This window comes from Homo sapiens, chromosome 8, assembly GCF_000001405.40.
Source record: "Homo sapiens chromosome 8, GRCh38.p14 Primary Assembly".
NCBI classification, from domain to species: domain Eukaryota; kingdom Metazoa; phylum Chordata; class Mammalia; order Primates; family Hominidae; genus Homo; species Homo sapiens.
Window position 1 is genome coordinate 87,179,886 of NC_000008.11, and position 24,809 is coordinate 87,204,694.

General features: G+C 35.8%; 1 protein-coding gene across 4 annotated transcripts in view, besides 1 other annotated feature; it reads left to right on the plus strand.

Annotated features, from left to right (window-relative positions):
• CNBD1 (cyclic nucleotide binding domain containing 1) overlaps positions 1-24,809 on the plus strand; it is a 562,238-nt gene that overhangs the window by 313,471 nt on the left and 223,958 nt on the right. The gene's annotated exons all lie outside the window — the stretch shown is intronic.
• Positions 16,530-17,031: an enhancer, noted in NCBI's record as "NANOG hESC enhancer chr8:88208643-88209144 (GRCh37/hg19 assembly coordinates)". NCBI's record gives its function as "activates a minimal SCP1, AML or CMV promoter by ChIP-STARR-seq in naive H9 embryonic stem cells {active_cell/tissue: H9 hESC(naive)}" and the evidence as "EXISTENCE:reporter gene assay evidence [ECO:0000049][PMID:30033119]".

The following is a 24,809-nucleotide window of genomic DNA, read 5'->3' on the forward strand; positions in this document are numbered from 1 at the left end:
TAAGATTATTTACTAACAAACAGGATGTCACCATGAATCACAAGACATTTCCCAGGAGGGCTAATTTGGAAGCTTGCCAGATATGATCTGTAGGTTATCAGTAGTTAATGTAAAGGATTTATTTTTTGTATGAAGAGTGAGACATGTAAATAGAAAACGGTATAAAAGAGTTCAAAGAAGGAAGCACGAAGTGAAAACTTAAATTTCTGAATTGCTTGTCTGCAAATAGAAGCCAAGATACACATGAGACTGCCCAGGAAATGCATATAGAAAAAAAAATACCCAAGCCATGATTACTATATTTCCTGCAAATATTAGAAAAGTTAGTGTGGAGAAAAACTGAAACTATTCATTATATTTTAAGCATGAATTGGTTGTTTGCAGAAATCATGAATAAATATATTCTATAAACATATTTTCCATGTATTTTGGAAAATACATATTATATATTTTTATCACCTTTTACTCAATTATGACTTTGTATCATTTCTGAAAGTAGTTTCACCAAAATAAGCCTAATACGTTACTGTGTGTTGTCTTGTATTATTTTCTCACCTATTATTGGCATACTCCAGTTTTAACTTTAGATAAAACAATATATCATGGCATTTCATGCTTTCACCTGTACAATGACTAAGATAAATAGTTGGATGTGTCAAAAAGTAACTCCGGAGGTGGTGTGAGCCTGAAATTTACATATTTTTGTTATATATTAAAGAATATATAATTTAAAACAATACCTATAATTTAATCACATATTTGATAATGTAAAGATGAATCTGTACCAATTAAAACTTAGAATTTTTTAGCAAAGAAACCTACCCCTTATTCCACCTGGACTAAAAAAGAAGGAAGGAATGGGAATGAGGGAGGAGTGTGTGTTTGACTCTCAGGCAGTCCATATTTTATGTACTAGGGAATGGGGAAGGAAGTTAGGATATAATTTTGCAGAATAGTGCACTTCAACTAACAATATTGTTTGCAGCTCCACTCCTATTTTTTATTGATTTTATTTGCTGTAAACAAGTATCGAGGGTCTTTGGGGTTCCACAAAGCAGATGGGCCACCATCTCTGCTGCAGCTGCCTCTCCTAATCCTGCTCTGGGCTTTGAATTTCTCCACTCTGCAATCTGTCTATGCTCTTCTATTCACTTTCTTCCCCCAGAAACGTGCTGCACACTCATCAACTGATAACGTCCTCCCTTACCTCCTTGATGTTTTTATCATTATTTTTATATTTCTATCATCATTTTAAAGAGTCATTTTGAGAGGAGAGTGATGAACAGATCTATGTCTGCAGGTTGAATCAAAAGCATCTATTCCTTTTTAAAAATATATTTTCTTAAGTTATGAATACACAATAACTGCACATATATACAGTATGCAACTTAATACATTTGACATGTGTACACATCTGTGAAACCATAGTTACAATTGAGATAGTATATAATATACAAATAACAGCTCCATCTCCTCACAAAGATTCCTTGTGCATCTCTACAATTTCAAATTTTATTTCTTTATTAGAAATATGGCCCTGCAAATTATCTGTCTTCTTGGGTGAGACTCAGAAGTTTGTCAATAATTCTGTCCATTTCATTGAATTTATTGGCATAAAGTTGTTCAAAATATTCACTGGTTAATATTTTGATATCCAAATAGTCTGTAAAGCTGTCACCTCCCTCACTCCTAGTGTTAGTAATTGTGTTTTTACTACTGTATGTCTTCTCAGTGTGGCTACAGGTTTTTCAAAATTATTGATCTTCAAAAAACCAACTTATGCTTTCATTAAAATCTGTTGATTTCTGAGGTTTTTTCCTTGATTTCTACTCTGATACTTAACACTCTGTTTATTTTGCTTAATTTAGATTTAATTTTTCTTCTTTTTCTAGGGTTACAGGTGAAAGCTGAGGTCCTTGATTCTTAGAACTTTCTTCTTTCTAATATAGGCATTTTGTGGTATATTTTTCCTTTTCATGTGTAAATTGGTTTACGTGGTATTTATTTTTTCTCAACTTTTATTTCAGATTCAGGGGATACATGTGCAGGTTTTTTCCATGAGTACATTGTGTGTTACTAGCGTTTGTTGTACACATGATTTTGTCACCCAGGTAGTGAGCATAGTATCTGATAGGTAGTTTTTTGACCTTCACCCTGCTCCTAACATCTCACTTGAAGTATGCCCCAGTGTCTACTTTTCCCATCTTTGTGTTCATGTGTACTCAATATTTAGTTCCCATTTATAAATGAGAACTGTGGTATTTGGATTTCTGATCCTATGTTAGTTCACTTAGGATAATGGCCTTCACCTATATCCATGTTACTGCAAAGGACATGATCTCATTCTTTTTTATGGCTGCATAGTATTCCATGGTGTATATATACCATATTTTCTTTATCCAGTTTACCATTGATGGGTATTTAGGTTGATTCCATGTCTTTGCTACTGTAAACAGCACTGTGATAGACATATGTGTGCATGTCTTTATGGTAGAATTATTTATATTCCTTTGGGTATATATCTAATAATGGAATTACTGGGTTGAATGATAATTCTGTTTTAGTTTCTTTCAGATATTACCAAACCATTTTACACAATAGCTGAAATAATTACATTCCCACCAACAGGGTGCAAGAATTCCCTTTTCTCCACAACCTTTCCAGCATTTGTTATTTTTTGACTTTTTAATGATAGCCATTCTGACTGATACGAGATGGTATCTCATCGTGGTTTTGATTTGCATTTCTCTAATAGCTGGTGATGTTGAGCATTTTTTCATATGTTTGCTGCCTGAATGTATGTCTTCTTTTGAGAAGTGTCTGTTCATGTCTTCTGCCCATTTTTAAATGGGGTTGTTTGCTTTTGCTTGTTGAATTGTTTAAGTACCTAATAGTTTCTGGATATTAGAACTTTGTCTGAAGCATAGTTTGCAAGTATTTTCTCCCATTTAGTAGGTTTTCTGCCTATTCAGCTGATAATTTCTTTCTTTCTTTGTCCTGTGCAGAACCTCTTTGGTTTAATTAGGTTACACTTATGTATTTTTGTTTTGTTACAATTGCTTTTGGAGACTTTGACATGAAATTTTTGCTAAGTCCTATGTTCAGAATGTCATTTCCTAGTTTTTTCTAGGGTTCTTACAATTTAGGGTCTTACATTTAAGTCTTTAATTGATTTTGAGTTGATTTTTGAATATGGTGAAAGGGCAGGGTCCAGTTTTAGTCTAACTTACATGGCTAGACAGTTATCCCAGCACCATTTATTGAATAGTGAGTCTTTTCCCTACTGCTTATTTTTGTTGACTTTGTCAAAGAACAGATGGTTGTAGGTGCACAGCTTTATGTCTGGGCTTTCTAGTCTCTTTTGTAGGTATATGTGTCTGTTTTTATATCAGTACCATGCTGTTTTGGTTGCTGTAGGCTTGTAGTTTGAAATCAGGTAGTGTGATACCTTCAGCTTTGTTTTCTTTTGTTTGTTTGTTTGTTTGTTTTTGCGCTGTTTGTTTTTTTTTTTTTTTTTTGCTAATGATGGCTATATTATTTTCCCACATTTGTATTGTTTTACCACTTTCTTTGGATTGAGTTTCAGACTCCTCTTGTATCTCGATGAGTTTTCTTGCCATCCAGATTCTGAATTCTATGTCTGTTGTTCCAGCCATTTCAGTCTGGTTTAGGATCATTGCTGGGGAGCTAATGTGGTCATCTAGAGGTAAGAAGACACTCTGGCTTTTAGAGTTGCCAGAATTCTTGTACTAGTTCTTTTTCATCTGTATGGGCTGATAGTCCTTTAATCTTTGAAGTTGCTGTCCTTTAGGTAGGGCTTTTTGCTTTTGTATTCTATGATACTCTTGAGGATTTGATTGTGGTACATGTTGGGTTTAGTTGATTGGTTTCATTTCTGGATGCTTTCAGGGGGACAAAGCTCAGTTCAGCATTGCTGGGCTGTATGCTCTAACCCTGGGGGCACTAGGACCAGGCCTATCACTTTGTTCTGTGGCACTTTGGGGTCAAACACCTGCTACACTAGAGAGCCTGGGGCATTCCCAGTTCACTGGCGACAACACTCCAATAAGGGCTGCCAGCAAAGCACTGCAGTAGAATGGCAGGGAGTGCCATACACGTGTGCACTGCAGCAGAGGTAATGGGTCTGTGCTCACCACTGGGGTGGCGGGGGCCACAGATGATTGTGGCCAATGGGGTGACAGAAGGGGCTGCACGCATGTGCTCACGGGTTGGCTGTTGGGGGTAGTGTGCACCAGTGGGAGAATGCTGCAGGCAGGTTTGTGCCAGCAGGGATTCATCTGCAAAAGTGCTCTGATAGGAATGTAATAGGCAGTGAGCAAAAGAGCTAGCACCATGGCTGACGGCAAACTTTTTAGTGGGGCAGCTGAGGCTGGGTGGCAAATGGGTTTGGCCAGGCAGGACCTTGGAAGACACCAGCAGACAGAGGACCATTCAGATCAGACTGACCGCATGGGAAAGACAGCCCTGCTCTCTGCAGGCCCAGCTGCTAATAAACGCTAAAGCCACCTAGAGGAGGAGTATGGCAAGCCTTAGTTGTGGACACCCATGACAGTGCTCCTCTCCAGCCTTTCCCACGCCAAACCCTCTGGGCTTCATGCAGACTGGAGTTCTATCTTGTCCATCTCTCCTGGCAGTTTTCCCTGCCAACTCTAATGTCCATGGGGGTCATGGGGTCTCCTGCAGCTAGGATCCTGGAGGTCTATGGCTAGAGTGGGCTGCTCCATGCTTATTTCACTCACCCTTTCCCTAGAAGCCACTGGGGGCCAGGAAGGAGTCTGGTGCTTGGCAACCTAACTTCCTCCCCTTTCAGCCTCCGGGTCTACATCCTCCCTATATCCACTCCCAACACCTGCTTTCTGAAGATCTATTCAGAGTCTGCTGGTGTACTTGATGGCATGGTCTCTCTCAGTGGGAGAAGCTCTTCCTGGCTGTGTCTGTCAGCCATCTTGGCTATTTCCTTGTATATTTTCTTATAGCTACTATTTTAGTTGCATCTCCAAGTTTTAATATGTTGCATTTTCATTTTAATTTATTTTAAAGTATTTTAAAATTATCTTTTGAGTTTTTTATTTGACTTCTGGATTTTCATAAATATGTTATTTTCCGAATATATTTGGGAAATTTTCAGAGAACTTTGTTACTGATTTCTAAATTAATTATATTGTGGTCTAAGGATATACTTTGTATGATTTTTACAAATATACTGAGGTTTGTCTTATGGTATATAATACAGTATTGATAAATGTTCCACATACAATCAAAAAGAATGTATATTCTGCTCTTTTTTGAGGTGATTGTTTTATAAATATCAATGAGATTAAATTCAAGCCTTCTATAACCTTACTGTTTTTCTATTTTTCTATCAATTCTTGAAAAATGATGTTGAAATTTGACTACACTTGCATATTTTTTCCGTTTCTCTCTGCAGTTTTATTAGTATTTACTTCTTCGCGTAGTAATTTTTTATTGGGTGCCAGTTATTTTAATTTTACCTTGGTGGCTGCTGAACATGTTTATATCATCATACATAGTGTGAACTTTGTTCCAAAATTAGTTAAGTTTATTGGAAACACACTGATACTTTCAAATCTTGCTTTTAGATATTGTTAGGCAGGATCAGCACAGCATTTAGTCTATGGCACATTTTTTTCCTAATGCATAGGTAAAACTCATATGTGGTCTATCCTATTTCCTGTGAATTATAAGGTTTCTACTCTGCTTTTTAGAAACAAGAACTATTCCCAGGTCTGTGTGAGCTCCAGATATTGTTCCCTCTAATCTTTTTAGGTGCTTCAGTTTCCGGTCCATGATAGTTTCTTCACATGTGAGCAATGATAAATACTCATTAATAATTCAACAGATTCTTTTTGAAAATCTCTGGTGCTCTCTCTCCCTCTCTGCATTTTTCTCCTCTACAATAATTTTCTCTGGGAACTCTGACCCACGTAAGTTCCTTTGACTGTCTCCTCAGTTATGTCTCCTCAATTAAGGAAACTGTCTGGATTCCCTCGTCCCATTCTTTATCATAGAAATTTTCTCTCTTCTGTATACTAGAGAAATCATAGTTTTTAACTTTATTTGTTCCTCGTTTCCAAGGTTTACTGTTTGTCTTTGCCTGATGTTCAATATCTGCAAAACAATTATTTTGCATATGTTGTCTCTTTTTTAGATGTTTCCAGCAGGTATTTAAATCTATACTTGTTAATCCATATTTAACAGAAACCTACGCCAAAATGTATTTATTCTAATTTTAATTTTTTTCTATAGTAATTTGGATTGACATATAATTAAATACCTATTTGATATTCTTACTTGGCGTATCTCATTTTCCATATCTAAAGCTGAACTCTTGTTCATTCTACTAAAGTTTTTCTTCTGCAGCCTTCCTCATCTCAATAAATTCTGCATAATATTTATAATTTCATAAACCAGTAAACTGGCAGTCTTCAAAGATTTCTTCTCTCTTTAGCCAATCTAATCAAGCACCAAAAATATTTCTTGACCATCTCCTGAATTTACAACCATCATTCCAGCTCCATTCTCTACCCTATTCCTAGTTATTATCCTTTTCCATATCTACTTCAAACTTCTCCAAAGTTAAAAGAAACAATAAACAAACAAACAACAAAAATAAATGAGAGAATTCTTCTAAAGACAGTTGTATACACTGCTGGGAGAAACTAAATATAAGCAGCTCTTTATATCTTATTTTAATCAATGAACCACAATATAATGTACCTACTTATAATTTATTAAAAATTTAATTCCTATTTTAAATTTCTTTTTGAATTCTTATTTTAACTTATTTATTTAAATAAAAATTCCCATTTTAAATTTATTATTGAAATATATAGTGTAAGTAATTTTTTAAAAATGGTTTGAGGGACTACTACAAACGCATGCATATGGCAAGATTGTTAAAATGGAAACAAGGAAGCAAAAGTTATGGACAAAAGGAAGGGAGATATACTAACCACCTTAGCTGACCTAGCTGATCTGTCGTAGCATTAAATTTAGCTTAGAGATTTTTGGGCATCCCAAAAGCAATAGAAGTGGATTAATTATCATTGATTTGATAAATCAATTCTTCAAGTATCAATTTTTCCTACCAAGAAGAAAATATTGAAGTACATAATTGACAATATTATGCAACATATTTGTTTTTCTCTTTTACTCAGTATCTAAGGCATTTTCCCTATATTGCCATTTTAAAAATCAATCTCCAAAAAGGCAACATTTTTATATTGAAAAATTAAAAGATTTATATAGCTATATCTCAATATATATCTGCACATATCTATCTATATGCCAAATATTAAAACATAGCTATATAAATATTTAAATTATGTATATATTTATTCCTATATCTATCTACCTATCTATCCATCTGATCCATGTGATTTTTTTGTCTTTGCTATGCAGATATTTTCCCATAAATGATGGAAGAATAAGAGTTTTTGAAGTTTATGTTTGTAAATTACCATGGTTCTAACTTTATATGAGGATAGAGCATATCTTAAAATATATGCTAAAGAGGGAATAATATATTTCATATATCCTTCTCTTTTTTTTTTTTTGGCTAGCATTTTGACAGTAACTAAATATTGTCACCAGTTTAAGACACCAAACATAACAGATTATTTTGGACTGGAAAAATTTCAAACCAGCATTATCAGTCAGCAATCCTGACAAAGAAAGCCCCTCAAGTCATCATTGTTTGTAATAGCAATGACACCAGTGTTAACTCCTATGGAAGGACAAATTGCTTGCCTAACTTTGAATTGCACTGCCTTTTTCTTGACCCTTAAGTTCACTAAATATATTCCAAACTAATTTTAATAACCTGATCTGGAGTTGCTAATTACATAATTCATTATAATATCTCTCTAACTGATTTCAGCACATTGGTTTTACAATACCCTAATCCATCCTCCTCTCTGTAGCCAGACTGAACTTTCAAAATGTAAATCTGCCCAGTAATTCCTCTTAATAAAATCCTTGGATGACTTTATTTTTCCTAATGACAATGTCTAAAATTCTTAACAAGGTTTATAATGCCTTCTAGGATTTTGCCCTGCCTATCATCTTAGCTTCAATATATGTCCAATTTCCTCATTGCTCTCTCTGCTCCAACCACACTGAACTTTCATTCCCAAGTGTTTCTTGAATACTTGATTCTGGATCTTTGTACAAGGAATTTTTTATTCCTGAAACACTGATATATCCTCTCTTTCCCCACTGCCAACTTATTCTTCAGATGTCAGTTCATACACCACGATCTCTGGGAAACATTTGCGAATGTCTCTGCTCCCCTAGACTAGATTACGTCTCTCCACTACTTTCCATGACACATAGTACTCTGCCTTTTATATCTCTTTCACATGCATAAGTTGTGTTTAATGTATGACTTCCCTTTTGAATTTTAAATTGTGTGAGGCAAGGACAAGGTCTGTCTCTATCTTTGTTATATGCCAGTGTTTGGATTATTACCTGAAAATTAACCATTGCACAAAACTATTTGCTGAATAAATAAATGAAGGAGGCTCGGTGCGGTGGTTCACACCAGCAATCCCAGCACTTTCAGAGGCCAAGGTGTGTGGATCACCTGAGGTCACGAGTTCGAGACCAGCCTGGCCAACATGGCGAAACCCCATCTCTACTAAAAATACAAAAATTAGGTGTGGTAGCAGGTGCCTGTAATCCCAGCTACTTGGGAGACCGAGGTAAGAGAATCACCTGAACTAGGGAGGTGGAGGTTGCAGTGAGCCGAGATTATGCCACTACAAGATCACGATGATCATGCCACTGCACTCCAGCCTGGGCAACAGAGAGACTCCATCTCAAAAAAAAAAAAAAATAAAAATAAAAAATAAGTAAATAAATAAATGAAGGAATGAACAGACAGTAAAGCGTCTTTTTTTTTTTTTTTTTGGTTGATTTAAAACATCTAACATGTAGGTAGAAGCTATTGTTTGACTTCTGAACCTGACATGTAGTTATTGTAAACTTTTGAGCACAAGAAAAAGATAAATAGTGTGATTATATGAAGAATAATTAAGATTTCCAACAGAATGGTGTTCGTTTTTTTTTCACAGAGAAATGCAGCTTATCAACTTTTTTGTGTGTAGTAGAAGCAGCTTCTTCAAATGTCTAAGTACAAAAGATGTAGAAAACCTTCAATAAAATTAGTTCAAAGCATCTGTGTATTTCAGTAATCTGTGATTATTGTGTTTATGGCTGCTGAGTGTGTTCAGGAAGTGAGATTACAGGTGACTTTTGAAGTGTTTTGAGAACTTACTTATACCCTTTTTTGTGTGGCTATTGTTAACCACTCAGATCTTATGAACCGAGTTTGTGATGGATGCTAAGGAAGTGCTCTTTGATGAAGTACCTTGCCTAAGGATTTTCATAATTTTCAAGTTTGGCATCGGAACTATAAACATGTAGATAAAATAAGCGTGTTTTATGACCCAACCCCCCTTTAAAAACTGTGCAGTTGGCAGACAAGCCTATTATTTTCTTCAATTTTCTTCTGCTGAAATGAAAGGAAATATGCTACTATAGTATTCTGGTGGGTATACCATGTCCTTTAATTCCTCTCTCTCTACAAGAAAAAAGCCCAGCTATCCTCCCCAAACAACAAAAGGAAGCATGTAAAAAAATTAGTAATCTATTTTCTAATTATAAGAGGTTTTTTAAGCTTGAAAAGAAGAGTTAAATTTGTTGGCATTAACCTTTCAATTTTCAATGGTGTATAGGAATAGCAGAGAGAACCAAAAGCGTGCTGTGCCTCTGATGTGTGCACTCCGCGAATGACCAAACCCAATTTCTGGAAAAACTGATAATGATCAGCATTTGTCATATGAATCTGGATGATCAAATAAAATCAATTGTTATTCTGTTCATTCATCCTTGACTGATTAGGGAATTCAAATGGAAAGTCAGACAGAAGGTGATGTGCATATTAATGATTAATTATTCAAGAAATACTTCAAGTACACACTGTATTCCAGGAAAAGAATTTTACAGTAGGTTGCTTGAAAACATGCAGGAAAAAGGGATACATAGAAAAAAATGATATTTGAGAAGAAAGTCACATTTTTAACAGTTTTAAATAATTTCATAACAGCCACAATGCTGCTTCTAAAACTATTAAGAAGGTCCAAGAGCTTGCCTGTGTGCATCCTTTAATTAAAATGAACTTTTCAGGTGGATTTTTCTATCCCATTAATCTGTGGCTCATAGAACATTTGGTCAAATGTCACATACTTGCTAAGGTCCAGGGATTTTAGCTGTACAATTTCTGAATATGTTCATGTACCCCCAAACATATGCTATCAAATTTCAGCAAGTTTTTTGGATCCTTGAGGAACTCACATGGCTGGGTGTGCAGGATACATTTTCTAGGGACATATATATCCAAACGTAGGAGACTCCCAGTTGTTCTGTTCCCAGCTGATGACCTAAATTTTCATTTCTACCATTATTTTTCCAGGTTGTAAATCTGAGCTGATTCCTCCATGCCATCTGATTCAAGCTCATAATTTTACCATTCTCTGTGTGCCTTATTCCATATTCTTTTTTGTCCATTACTACCCTCTTTCGCTCCGAGTTCAATGTCTTATATATTTTTAATCCAGCTTCATTAATGGGTCTATTTTCTTACTGTTTCTTTTGTGTAATAACTTGATCTTAACTCAGAGGTAGACTTACCCTGAAGGTAATGACGCTTAAGCTTTAGGCTTGCCATTTAATTTGCATGTGTCACTTTGAAGGCCCTTAAAGAGGCTCTAGAAATATATTCACATGCTTGTAAGTTTCTGTAATATTTGTAAGAGTAAGACATTTTCACTATAGTCATGTGTTTTTCCTTTGCCTGCTGTGTTAGTCAGGATTCTCCAGAGGTACAGAACCAATAGGAGGTACATATGTAGATATAGATACATGTACCTATATCTAAATAGATATAGATACATGTACGTATATCTATTTAGATATAGGTACATGTATCTATATCTATTTAGATATAGATATAGATACATATATGTGTATCTGTATGAAAGATATATATATGTATCTAATGAAAGCTAATTCTCCTTAATAAACTCTGTTATAGTTTATTAAGGAGAATTAGCTTTCACTATTATACAGCAAAGCCCTACCATGTGCCATCTGTAAGCTGGGGAAAGAAAAAGCCAGTAGTGGCTCAGTCCAAATCTGAAAACCTCAAAACCAGGAAAGCCAACAGTGTAGACTTCAGTCTATAGCAGAAGGCCCAAGAGTCCCCAGGAAGATGCTGGTGCAAGTCCCAGAGTCCAAAGGCCAAAGACTGGGAATCTGAGGTTCAAGGGCAGGAGAAGTGGAAGGAAGCATCAGGCATGCAAAGACAGAGAGAACTAGGGGAATCAGCAAGCAAAATTATCCCCATTCTTCCACCAGCTTTGTTCTAGCTGCACTGGCAGCAGATAGGATGGTGCCCACCCAAATTGAGGGTGGGTCTTCCTCTCCCATTCCACCAACTCAAATGTCAGTCTTCTCTGGTAACACCTTCAGAGACACCCCCAGAAACAATACATTGCCAGCCATCTAGGCATTGCTCGATGCAGTCAAGTTGACACCTAATATTAACCATCACACCTGTCAACTTTTTTTCTTATACTCAGTTTTCATGGCACCTGGTGTTGGAGTTGGGTTGAGCATTTTAAGGATCCAGTTTAGGGAAAGTTAAATTAGAGATACATTTCATTTGAGTCTAGTGGGATATAAATTTTAGTTCTTAGTCATTGCTGTATGTGCAATTATTGTTAGCTGTGCTAGTGTAGAAATGCCTATCAAGAAACACCCCGACTGCCCACTGTGTGGACCCAGCAGCATCTTGACACGAAGTAACAGGGCTTATAGCTACCTGGCACCAGAAGCGTTTGGGCACAGAAGTGGCATATACTTTTAAAAGTGGAGAGAGAATCAAAATCTGTGGAAAACCTTTCTAAATCTCCTAGCGCATATATGAAAGAAATTCAGATAGAGATTTTCCTAAATTTGACAAGAATTCTAAAAATTTATATAACATTACCAATAATTGGTTGTGAATCTAAAGGAAATATTTCTATGTTATTGAGAATAATTTTAAAAAATATATCAACCAAGCTAGAGGGAAGAGTCTGTTCTATCAAAATGATAAAAAATTGTTGTCATACAAAGGGGTGAAAATATTTTTAAGTTCAATTTAAAAAGTAAGAAAAATAAGTAGAATGGAGTGACATAGACAACTAATTCATAAAATTATAATTTTTTTCTAGATTTGATGATGTTTTAAAATTATCCAGCTTTTCAAACTTTGTGATTTGTTGTACTTTCTTCTTTTTCTAAATAATTATTCACATTTGCACCAAATTTGTAATTTATAAATTTGTATTCTTTTTAATTTATTGTATGTCAGATCCAATAAACCTGGAACATCTCCTGCCCTAACTCAATTAGCCCCAATAACTCAAAATAAGTGGAAATCACTATAATAAAAATTTGATTTAATGTAGGGGCTAAAGTGGATGGAAATCTACGCTCTGGAATGAGACTCCCTGAGATAAAAATTCTTGCTCCACAACTTATTATTCTGTGACCTTGGGCAAGTTACTCAGCATATCTAAACCTCAGCTTTCTCATTTAAAAAGGAGACTGGATTAGAAAGCGTAATTCCTTGATGCTCTTTATAACTGTGTGATAGTAACATGAAACATAGTGAGTAACCAACTAATTAAAATTAGTATGCATGTTGAAAACCTTGGATTCCCTGTAATTTCACATCAGCCCTATGGATTCCTAATTGTTCTTTCAGGTATGTGTAGAGTAAGAAGAAGTCTAGTGTGGCAACTGACCTACCTGTCCATTCTTTTAACTAGCATAGTCCCGCTTTTATTAACTTCATTTACACTCTAAGCTTTAGTTTGAACAAGGTGCTCTGTGTCTGTATATGTGTGTTCATATGTGTATTTGAATACAACTGCCCTTGCCCAATCCTTCTATCACAAGAATCATGTGATAACATTAGTGAAAATATTACAAACAGAAAATAAGTGGTAATCGCTTCTCTATTTGACTTCAATCTTATATGTAGGAAGGATGGAAGGATATGTTTTTATTTAAAATAAAACAAAATAACCACAGAAAATTCTTCCTTCTAGATCAGAGATTAAGCATTCAATGAAAATAGAAAATTAACAAGAAGTGATTGAGAGAAACATAAGCTTCCCCAAATTCTCAGGGATATTAAAGGATTATCAAGTTTCCCATAGCATATGGGACTGAGCCTCATGTTAATATTTGGTTATTTATATTTGACCAATATTAAAAGAATGTGTAAACTCAAACAGCAGGAGGACTTGGATAAAGAGCTAACACTGGCATTTTATGTATAGCTCCCCAAAGACTTGCTTTATTGATTTAGTATTTTTAATTGTACTTTTTAATTAGAAAAAAATCACATTTTAATAATTGCTACTCATAATTGCCAGACAGAATAATCTTAGTCCGTCTTTAATTTGACAGCTTTTCAAATGAATGAATCAGTTTCATCCCCAAATAAATTCACTTCCAATTAAAAGTTGATTGTTTTATGACAGGACATAGAGATATTTTCTTTGATTCTTACATGTCATTGAGAAGTAACAATAATCAGCATCTCTGAAATTTCCTTTCACTTATAGAGACCCAAGCCTTCTGGCAATTTTCCATGAATGAAGTCTTTCTTGTAATCAAGATATTCCTGTTTTATTAATTTTTTTCTTTTATATTTGTCTGCGTAAGAACAGGGAACTGTCTTAACAGAATTTCTAATACCTAGGTGGTCAGATATTCCTTCAAATTAAACAAATTTGATGTCTTAAAACTAAGTGTAACAAATAAATAAATAAATAAAGAGAATGTTCAGCTCCTTTGCTAAGCTATACCCAGTAATTTAGAATAAGAGTTTAACGGATAAAATAAAATAAGCAATAGTTACTATTTCATGTATATCCTAGTGCAGGGGTCCCTAACCCTGGGCCATAGACTGATACAGTGTCTCCTAAGGAACAGGGCCACACAGCAGGAGGTGAATACCAGCAAGGGAGGGAAGCTGAGCTCCGCCTCCTGTCAAGTCGGCAAATTAGATTTTCATGGGAGCATGAGCCTTATTGTGAACTGCTTACATAAGGGATCTAGGCTATGTGTGCCTTATGAGAATCTAATGATTAATGCGCTTGAATCATCACAAAAAATGGTCTCCACTAAACCAGTCCCTAGTACCAAAATGGTTGGGGAACAATGGCCTAGTGTACAGTTCTCTTGTTTTGAAAGAAGAAGAAACCAGGCAATAGAAATAACTGGTGCGATAAATTGACACTTGAAAAGCAGGTAGTTAAGGGGAACAATGTTTAAGAAGGCAGTGAGTTTTGAATCATTAAGACTTGTAAAGCTGAGTGTCTAAAGTGAACATTTTAATTATGGCATGTTTCAGTTGTAAAAATAGATCATTAAGAATCACTTATAATCTTGGCCCTAGGATAGGTATTTTGGATATATTCTTAATTATGTAACCAAATGCCTAATAATATGTCACCAGTATTGTAGATTTCTGTTGCCACCTAAAATTCTGCATTATATGCCTGATTCTACAATAAACTAACCAATATCCCCTTTGGAAAATATAAGGCTTTAACCATTTCTTTATTACTGAATACTTATTTTTAATTTTTAATATTTTGACTAATGTTAATATGTGTATCTTTCTACATAGAATATTTTAATTCCATTTTAAATGAGTAAATTGTATGTTTCCCCTCCTTATTCTGTAGTTCACTAATTTATCCTGAGGGACTGGAGTTATTTGATTTACATTCAGGTTTTGTGTATGTGTGTTTTGTGTGCATATGTATGTATGTGCATTTGCAACATGATTTGTTCTTCATGTAGTGTCTTTTTTTGTTGTTTTTTGTTTTGTTTGTTTGTTTGTTTTGTTGAGACAGAGTCTCGCCCTGTCATCCAGGCTGGAGTGCAATGGCTCAATCTCGACTCACTGCAACCTCCGCCTCCTGGGTTCAAGCAATTCTCTTGCCTCAGCCTCCCGAGTAGCTGGGATTACAGGCGCCTTCCACCACACCCAACTAATTTTTTATATTTTTAGTAGAGACAGGGTTTCACCACGTTGGCTGGGCTGGTTTCGAACTCCTGACCTCATGATCCACCCACCTCAGCATCCCAAAGTCCTGGGATTACAGGCATGAGCCACCATGCCCGGCCCGTTTAGTATTTTTTAGTGTTTTAATTTCTTTGAGAAAATTGATTTTTTTTTTTTTTTTTTTCTGAGATGGAGTCTCACTCTGTCACACAGGCTGGAGGGCAGTGGCACAATCTTGGCTGTCTGCAACCTCCACCTCCCAGGTTCGAGTGATTCTTCTGCCTCAGCCTCCCAAATAACTGGGATTACAGGTGCATGCCATCACACCTGGCTAATTTTGTAGTTTTAGTAGAGACAGGGTTTCACCATGTTGGCCAGGCTGGTCTTGAACTCCTGACCTCAAGTGATCCACCCACCTTGGCCTCCCAAAGTGCTGGGATTACAGGCGTAAGTCACCATGCCCAGCTGAATATTGACTTTTTGATCCTCAGTTTAAATATTGTTTTTTTTTTTTTTTTAATTTTTATTTTTGAGACAGAGTCTTGCTCTGTTGCCCAGGCTAGAGTGCAATGGTGCAATCTCGGCTCACTGCGACCTCTGCCTCTTGGATTCCAGCAATTCTCCTGCCTTAGCCTCCTGAGTAGCTGGGACTACAGGTATGCACCACCACACCTGCTAATTTTTGTATTGTTAGTGGCGACAGGGTTTCACCATGTTGGCCACACTGGTCTCGAACTCCTGACCTCAAGTGATCTGCCTGCTTTGGCCTCCCAAAGTGCTGGGATTACAGGCATGAGCTACCACGCCCGACTTAAATATTGCTTCTTATAGCATACTTCTTCACTGATTTCTTCCCTTGCTTGTACCTGAGAGTTCTGATTTACTGTTGTTTTTTTGGCACGCATCCTACCCAAGTTAATGGCTTTTTTTATGTGTTCTGTAATATAAATTGATTATGTTACTTCAGAATTTTGAGCATATTCAAATCAGTTATTCCCCTACCCACTGCCACAGGACATAATCAATCCTTTTGAACACTTATACTCCCTCACAGGTAGAAAAATTTGGGGTGGAGTAACTCTGGAAGACTAAGCATCTTTACTAAGAGCCTAAGCCCTTAAGAAAGGCCATGTAAATCAGCTAGGAGGGGGAACTAAACTTTGTGTTAGTCTCAACATTTAAATTGAACAGAAATTGTTTGTATCAGAAGATATGATATTTTTAAGAGACAAGAGCAAAGATTTTTTGGTTTTGTTTTGGGTTACTCTTCAACTGAGCAGATTAGAGATTGTTAGAAAGATTAGATAAGTTGCAGAAAAATGCAAAAGCTCCCTTTCCTTTGTACATCTGAGTAAATGTGAGTAATTAGTATTAGGGGTATAGAAACCTTAAGAGAGTCCTAAGCAATTTTTCATGGCCTCACAGATGTTCACTAAAGTAGTCAAAGTCTCTTCTTATCAGCAAGAAGTGTGAAGAATTGCCTGAGAGTGAAAAGTCAACAGATTTGCAAGAGCTTTAGAACACCAAGGTCATGAGTACCTACAACTGGGAACACTGAGCAATTCAGTGGATGTCAGCACAGATGCCAAAGGCTATACATGATAATTACAGCTCAGCAGATGCCACCCCACATGGATACTAATGATCAGAAGCCAGATACCACTTGGTATGACTATAAGCCCCTAGGTTTGAGGTGATCACTGGGAGAGGAAAGAGAAGAAACGACAACCTGAAATTATTTTGTTTCCCACTGAAATGCCTGAAATCTCTGGAATACACTAAAATTTTGCTTTTGGCCGTCAGCTGGAATTGGGTCTAGAAATAGATAGAAAGGTGAATTAATGAAAATATAAAGGGAATAGTATTTTTTATACACCACTGTATGTGGTCTGATAACTCATAATAAGGATAATTTGGCCGTCAGCTGGAATTGGGTCTAGAAATAGATAGAAAGGTGAATTAATGAAAATATAAAGGGAATAGTATTTTTTATACACCACTGTATGTGGTCTGGATAACTCATAATAAGGATAATTTTAATAATGACACAATTGAAGAAAGAGCTACTGTTAGTAATACCTTGGGGACTGCAGTTTATGAAACACCTCTCAATGTATGACTTTTTGCTAATCTAGTTTTATTCACTGAAGTATTTCCTACAGTGAGAGTGTGCCAGGAAGCACTGGTAAGAAAGGAATGGGTACAATGTGTGTAAACGGTGTGCCTGACAATTTAGAAGACTAGAGGTTAAGAGAGATGTGAAAGCCAAATTTAGAGAAGTGAAAGCCAATTTTTCATACCTGAATGTTTTTATTTATCCTCCCAAGGATGATACACACAGGGGTGTATGTTAGACTCAAGAGGTTTAATTTCAGAGTTGCAGAGTTGCTGCTGATCATTTACCAGAGTGTAGCCTGGGAAAGCCTTAAGACCAGGGCCAAATAAGTTAATACAAACAAGGGAGAAAGGTGGTAACAGGAGGTGAAATGGGTGTTTCTAGCACTTCTGTTTCTCCATGGCCCAAATCAGGCATTCTAAATACGTTCTTGGATACTCATGTAGAAAGTCAGAAGGAAGGTGAAAAATAGAAATTGATCAGGAATGATATTTCCAGAAAAAGATTATAGTAGTTATATAAAATAATATTTTTTATTTTTGAGTTAGAATATGTAAATTACAAGCCCATTCATTCATCAAAATGATAAAGAGCTGTAACTTTTGAGTGACTTTAATCTTTTCTGTTAGTCAATAGTGTTTATCAGATATTTTTATTGTCCCTCCCTCAGGTTTCATGTGCACTTCCCTAACCCCTTGTCATTAGGTGCTTGAGATACAGGTTGACCTTTATCTGTGGGAGAAAATTGTAGGTATTGCTGTAGATCGGAGAGATTCAAGAGTCAATGTTGAGTGCAGGACTTTGAGAATGGTGGAGTGAAAACCTCTGTGAAACTGTTCCTTTATGAAAGCAATGAAATGCTAGAAAAAATTGTCAAAATAAAATTTTTCAAAACCTGGAAATTAGTCAAATGTTTGCAACAATATACATTTATTCAACAAAAGTAGCAGAGCCTAGGTAAGAAAAGCAGAACATTTTTATATTGACTTGTTTTAATCTTCCTTTTTCCAATTATGTGATAGCCTTGAATCATAGCAGCTATGAAAGCCAGCAGGCTTGCAGCCACTGGAGGAGACAGCTGGTGAGGAACTCCTCACAAAGCTCCACTCTGAGAGCATACCACAATGTGACTTATCTACCAGCTCCATGGAAAAACCCCATTCACAGGGCGTTGTTGTTATTTGACCCTGGGAAGGAGAGAAAAGCTTATTTCCAGAGTTCCCCTATTATATTATTCGAAATGTTTAGTTTTCAACAAAAATTATGATACATGCAAAGAAATAGCAAAGGTATCCCATATATGGAAACAAAAAAAAGCAGTTAACAGCAAACAATATCCCGAGGACATTCAAATGCTGAACTTAGCAGACAAAGATTTTAAATCAACTATTATGATTAGAAACAAGTAAGTAAAGGAAACCATGTCCAAAGAGTTCAAGAAAAGCATGACAACACACAACTTTTGCCAATCAGCAGAAGTTTTTATAGAAATATTTGAAGCATTTACAGAAATATTTGAACAATTATTAGATGACAAGTGAGATAAATTAGTGGATATTTCTGTGGCTATACACTGCAGGGAATATGGACTTTACAGAATTAGAGGAAAGTATGACTGTATTAGGCCAGTCTTGCATTGCCATAAATAAATACCTGAGACTGGATAATTTATAAAGAAAAGGGGTTTAATTGGCTCACAGTTCTGCAGGCTTTACAGGAAGCCTGGTGCGGGCATCTGCTCAGCTTCTAGGGAAGCCTCAGGAAGGTTACAATCATCTTGCAAGGTGAAAGGGCAATAGGCATGTCACAGGGTGAAAGCAGGAGCAAGCGAAAATGTAGAGGGGGAGGTGCCCCACACTCTTAAATGACCAGATCTCATGTGAACTCAGAAGGAAAGCTCCCTTACCACTGAGAGCATGGCCCAAGCCATTTGTGAGGAATCCACTCCCAGGATCCAAACACCTCGCGGGGATGACATTTCAACATGAGATTTGGGCAGGGACAAATATCCAAACTACATCAATGGCAATGGTGTCTCAACACGTACAGAATGAGAGAAAGTGCCACAAAATTAAAAAGCGACAAACAGAGATTCTGGAATTGAAAAGTAAGTAACTAAAATTAAAACAAAAAACTACTAGTGGAGTTCAACAACAGATTTGAGTTGCCAAAAGGAAGGTTCAGTAAGCTCGAAGATACATCAGTTAAGATTATCTAGTCAGAAGAATAGAAAGAAAAACAACACAAATTTGGAGGTAAGTATACACTCTTGCAGCCATTACCAAAATCTATGCTATGTACATATCCATCACCTGCAATAGTTTCTTCTTATGTTCTTTATTATTATTTTTTTGTGATAAGAACACTTCACATAAAATCTGCCCTCTTAGCCAATGTTTAAAGTACACAATACTGTATTGTTAACTGTAGGCACTATGCTGTACAGTAGATTGCTAGAATTTCTTCATCTTCCGTAACTGAAAATTTGTACCTTTTGACAAATAACTTTCTGTTTCCTTCTCCTCACAAGATTCCCCTCATTTTAGAGCAGGGGTTTTACACACCAAATTGTCAACAATGAGTATTTCTTGGTGAAGATTTGGTGGGTGTTCAGTCAGTAGGTGTACCTTCCATTTTAACTTTACATATACCTGTATTGTTTTATTTTTAAAAATAATTAATGTAAATAACACTTATAACAAAAATGACCAAGATGAAAACTAGTGGCTCTCAGATGCTGTTAACTTTGGAGAGACACTCTGATCATAGATTTTGGTAATGGTTGCACGAGTGTATACTTACCTCCAAATTCATCAAGTTGTCTACCTTAAATATGTACAGCTTTTTGTATGTCAGTCATATCCCAATAAAATGGTTTTTAAAATAAAAAAAATAAAAACAATACAAAATGTGAATACAGCCTCAGAGACCTGTGGGCTACCATCCATTGTACCAGCACAAAGATAATGGGAATCCCAGATGAATAGGAGAGAAAAAAGAGCAGAGAATATTTAAAGCAAGAATGGCTCAAAACCTCCCAACCTGAGGGAAACTGTTAATCTACTCACAGAAGAAATCAGTGAACTCCGAGTAGTAGAAACACAAAAAGCTCCATACCTAAAAACATCACAGTCAGTGTTCAAATTAGAAGAAACATAGAATACTGAAAGCAGCAAGAGAAAATAACTCATGCTGTGAAATGAATGCTCACAAAAATGGAACGAATTTTCATAACATACTTGAAGTGCTAAAAGAAATAAATGAAATAGAGAATAAAAAATGAATAAGAAAAAACAATTAGTTCTTTAAAAAGATCAACAAAATAGAAAAATTTACCTAGGCTGACTAAGAAAAAAGCAAAGAGAAGACTCAAATGACTAAAATGAGTAATGAAATGGAGGACATCTCTAATTATCCTGCAGAAATAAAAAAGATTATACAGGAATCCTGTAATAAACCGTATGCTAACAATGATGTAACCTAGAATTAAAGGAAACATTTCTAGAAATAAACAAATTACCAAAATTGACTCAAGAATAAAAATGAACTCCAAAGTAACCTATAACAAAGATTAAATTGCCAAGTAAAGAACACTTCTCACAAAGCAAATGCCAGTCCTAGATGGTTTCACTGGTAATTTCTGCCAAACTCTTAAGGAACTAAAAACAATTCTTCACAAAATCTTTCAAAAAATAGAAAAGGGAGAAACACATCCCAACTCGTTCTATGAAGCTAGCCTGATACCAAAACCAAATAAAGGGATCAGAAGAAAACAAAACTACAAGCCAATGTCCCTTATGAATATTGATGCAAATATTCTCAACAAAATAGTAGCAAACTAAATCCAGAAACATATAAAAAACATTCCATCAGGACCAAATGGAATTTATTCCAGTAATGCAGGGTCGCTCTAACATCTAATAATCAACAAATGTAATATACCATATTATTAGAATAAAAAAACCACATGATTTTCTTTATAAATATGAAAAAACTGACAAAATCCAACACCCATTCATGATGAAAAAAAGTACTCAACATAATAAGAACAGAAGAGAACTTCCTTAATCTAATAAACAGCATCAGTGGAAAACTCACAGCTAACTTGAAGAAAGACTGAATGATTTCTGTTGAATAGCAGGAAAATACAAAGATATCTACTCTGGCCACTTATATGTAACATTATAGTGAATGTTCTAGTTAAGACAGTCATTCATGAGAAAGAAGTAAAAGTCATCAGAATGGAAAAGGAAACTAAAACTATCTCTGTTTGCAAATGATATGATTTTGCATATAGAAAATCCAAAAGAATCTAGTGGATTCAATTTAAATAATAAACACATTCAGCAGTGTTTCAGGATACAAGATCAATATACAAATATCAAATCTACACACCATCAATGAAAAATCCAAAAATGAAATGCGGAAAACAAAACCATTTAGAATACCCTCAAAGACATAAAATACTTAGAAATGAATTTAAGAAAAATGTACAAGACTTGTACACTAATAAAACTGTTGAAGGTAAAGACGGTCCAAGTAAATGAAAAGATATGTTCAGAGGTTGAAAAACTTAATTTTTAAAAAAAATTATTTATTTTTTGAGATGCAGTCTCATTCTGTCGCCCAGGCTGGAGTGCAGTGACACAATCTTGGCTCACTGTCTCCCAGGTTCAAGCCATTCTCCTGCCTCAGCCTCCTGAGTAACTGGGTTTACAGGAGCCTGCCACCACACCTAGCTAGTTTTTGTATTTTTAATAGAGAAAGGGGAAAAAACTTAATATTGGTAACAGACATCCAACATAGTTTGTTTGATAGAAGTTCAGCATTTAAAATACAAAATAGACATCATTTTGAAAATGTAATAACAAATATATGTAGGCAAATATATAAGCCAAGAGAAGCTGGAATACGCAAACCCAGTAGCTGACAAGATAAAATTGAAGGAAAATTTTCAGAAGGAATGAAGATAGACTTTATGTACTGGTAAAAGCAACGATTATTTTCATCAGATAACATCAGTTTAAAATATGTTAACACAGTAACTGACTGAATTCTGGGGAGCAATAGATAAGTCCATAATAGCAATATTAATCCAAATACCTCAGAAATATATAGACCAAATTGATAGAAAACATACAATACAAGGAAAGATACAGAAGATTAGAATAATAACCAGTAATAAATTATAATATGGATCATGGTTAAAAACATTGTCAGGAACTTAGAAGAGCTGGAGAGAGAGAACGTGGAGCAGCAAGTATCAGAATAGCTGATAAAACAACAAGCCCAAATGCAAGTAATAGTCAAGTCTTTAATCACTTACTGTGAAGGAATAAGCAAGAATCTCAAACTGGAGGTAGCACTGACCTCATGTTACATCCACCTGCCCCATGAGCGTATGCACCAATTACGGGTCGGGTAGATTAGTACTAACATAATGGCTGTCTGACTGTTGAGGGAGCTCTGAGGAAAGACTTTTGCAGTTTTATAGACCTGGGGGTTGGGGTGAGGTCTGGGGCAAGGCTAGAAGTGGAAAATGCCTGAGTACTGAATGAGTCCGAATGCAGAAAGTGTTTTCAAGATCCTCCAACAAGGAGAATTCCAAATAGAAGGCCTCGACTAGGAATGCAGATGAGCATGAGAGCATGGCTGGCCAGGAAGCTGAGTTCTTGACTGCAATTCCTGTCAGAGACTGCAGTGCACTGGCTGTGTAGCCAGTCTGGTGTGGGGAGGGCAACTTTCCCCCATGAGGCCTGCCAGCTAAAGCCATTATAATTGCTTGTGGTTGTACCTGAAAAATCACAAAAAATTTTTGACCATGGGCTGAAACTCTCAAACATACAATTCAAGGCCAAACTGAACCCTGCCACTTAGTTCTGTCACTGACTAGACATGAGATCTTGAGTAAGTTATTTAACAATTCTGTGCATGAGTTTTTCTATTCGTTGAATGGGAATACGCTTGGTAAAGGAAGTATACTGATATAATATATTTTATCTACAGAAAGAATATCAGACACATAGTGTTATAAATTTGTTAGCACTTGTTTATATGCATACATAGGCACAAACACACATGTATCCATGCATATCTATATTATGAATATATCTGATGTACATACATACTATTATACATTTTTATTGTATATGTGTTTATATATGTACACACTTACACAAACAAATGATTTTTGTACCTAACAAATGCACATACACATTCTTTCAGATTTAAATGAAATATTTACAAAATTTGGCCATTTGATATGCTGCACTTTATCTCTGTGTCAGTTCACTTCCCATTGGCTAGAATTCAGTCACATGGTGACAACAGAATGATTCTGAAATGCATTCTAGCTGTGTAACTAGAGATAGAAGGAACCCATTTTTGAACAGTTAGCATCTCTTCTGTAGTTTGCCTCTTTCTAGTTACCAACTACTATGCATACCCTTTTTCAACACATATATTAACTCTTTCACCAAAAGAAAAAACAGAAAGTTTCACTAGTTACGCATTTCAAAGTCCAGAATTTTAGAGGACATACCCTCCTCCCCATCAAGAATGAATATGTATATTTCTGGTCTGCTAACATAAAAACCAGAAATATGATTATTTGTTGCTATCCCCTTACACGATACACAATAGCAGAGCCAGGAATAGGCTATTACAATAAAAACTCACACTAAGAAAAAAGGAAGAAATGGAAACACATTACAGTCATTGATTCAGAGCAACATTGCTGTTTTGCTGGGCTAGTATTGTAAAATCCTCCACCCTAACAGTACTGGAAGTTTTAAAAATTAGACCTTAGATCTGTTTTTTGGGAGGAACACCTGGCTCCACTACCTGGGAGGTTTTGTCTTATCTTTTGACCTGTTGGACAAATGTAAGAACACTGGAGATCATGTTCCCTTTGAAGGATGAGGAGTGTGGCACAATTTCTTTTGGTTTGCAAGTTCAATGAGTCAAAACTTTTTTTGGAGCATAATATTAGGTATTTCAGTGGTACAGATGCTTCAAAAACATAACAGAATTTGTATCTATTTGTTTTCAGTATCTTCTATGAGGCAGCAGCCAAAGCCAAGGTTATGTTGTAGACATTGTTTTTAAGTTGTTTCTAATTTCTGTGCTTATTCCTTGTGCCCATCTCTCTCTTAATGGAGGCTACTTTAAGGCCTTCTGAAAAGGTAGGCTTGGATGGGAAGGCCAAACTATTTCATCAGACCTTTGCCATAGGGTTAAGCACCTTTATTTAACTGAGAAGACTTTCAAGTCTTTTCTTGCTACATGGGATGAGGAAGTACTGGGCTTTTTATAACCATGTCCCACTTTTCTAGAGCCTCTCTATTCCCTTTCATTTATACTTGAAAACTGATCAAACTTGAATCAGTTAATAATACATTGCTACAAACAAGCAGAACTAAGCAAACAAAACAGAATAACTTTCTGGCTCTTTCCAGCTACTTTCTATGAAGTAGCAAGTTTTCTAGGCACTTGATCTGCCTTACAAATGATTGCAGG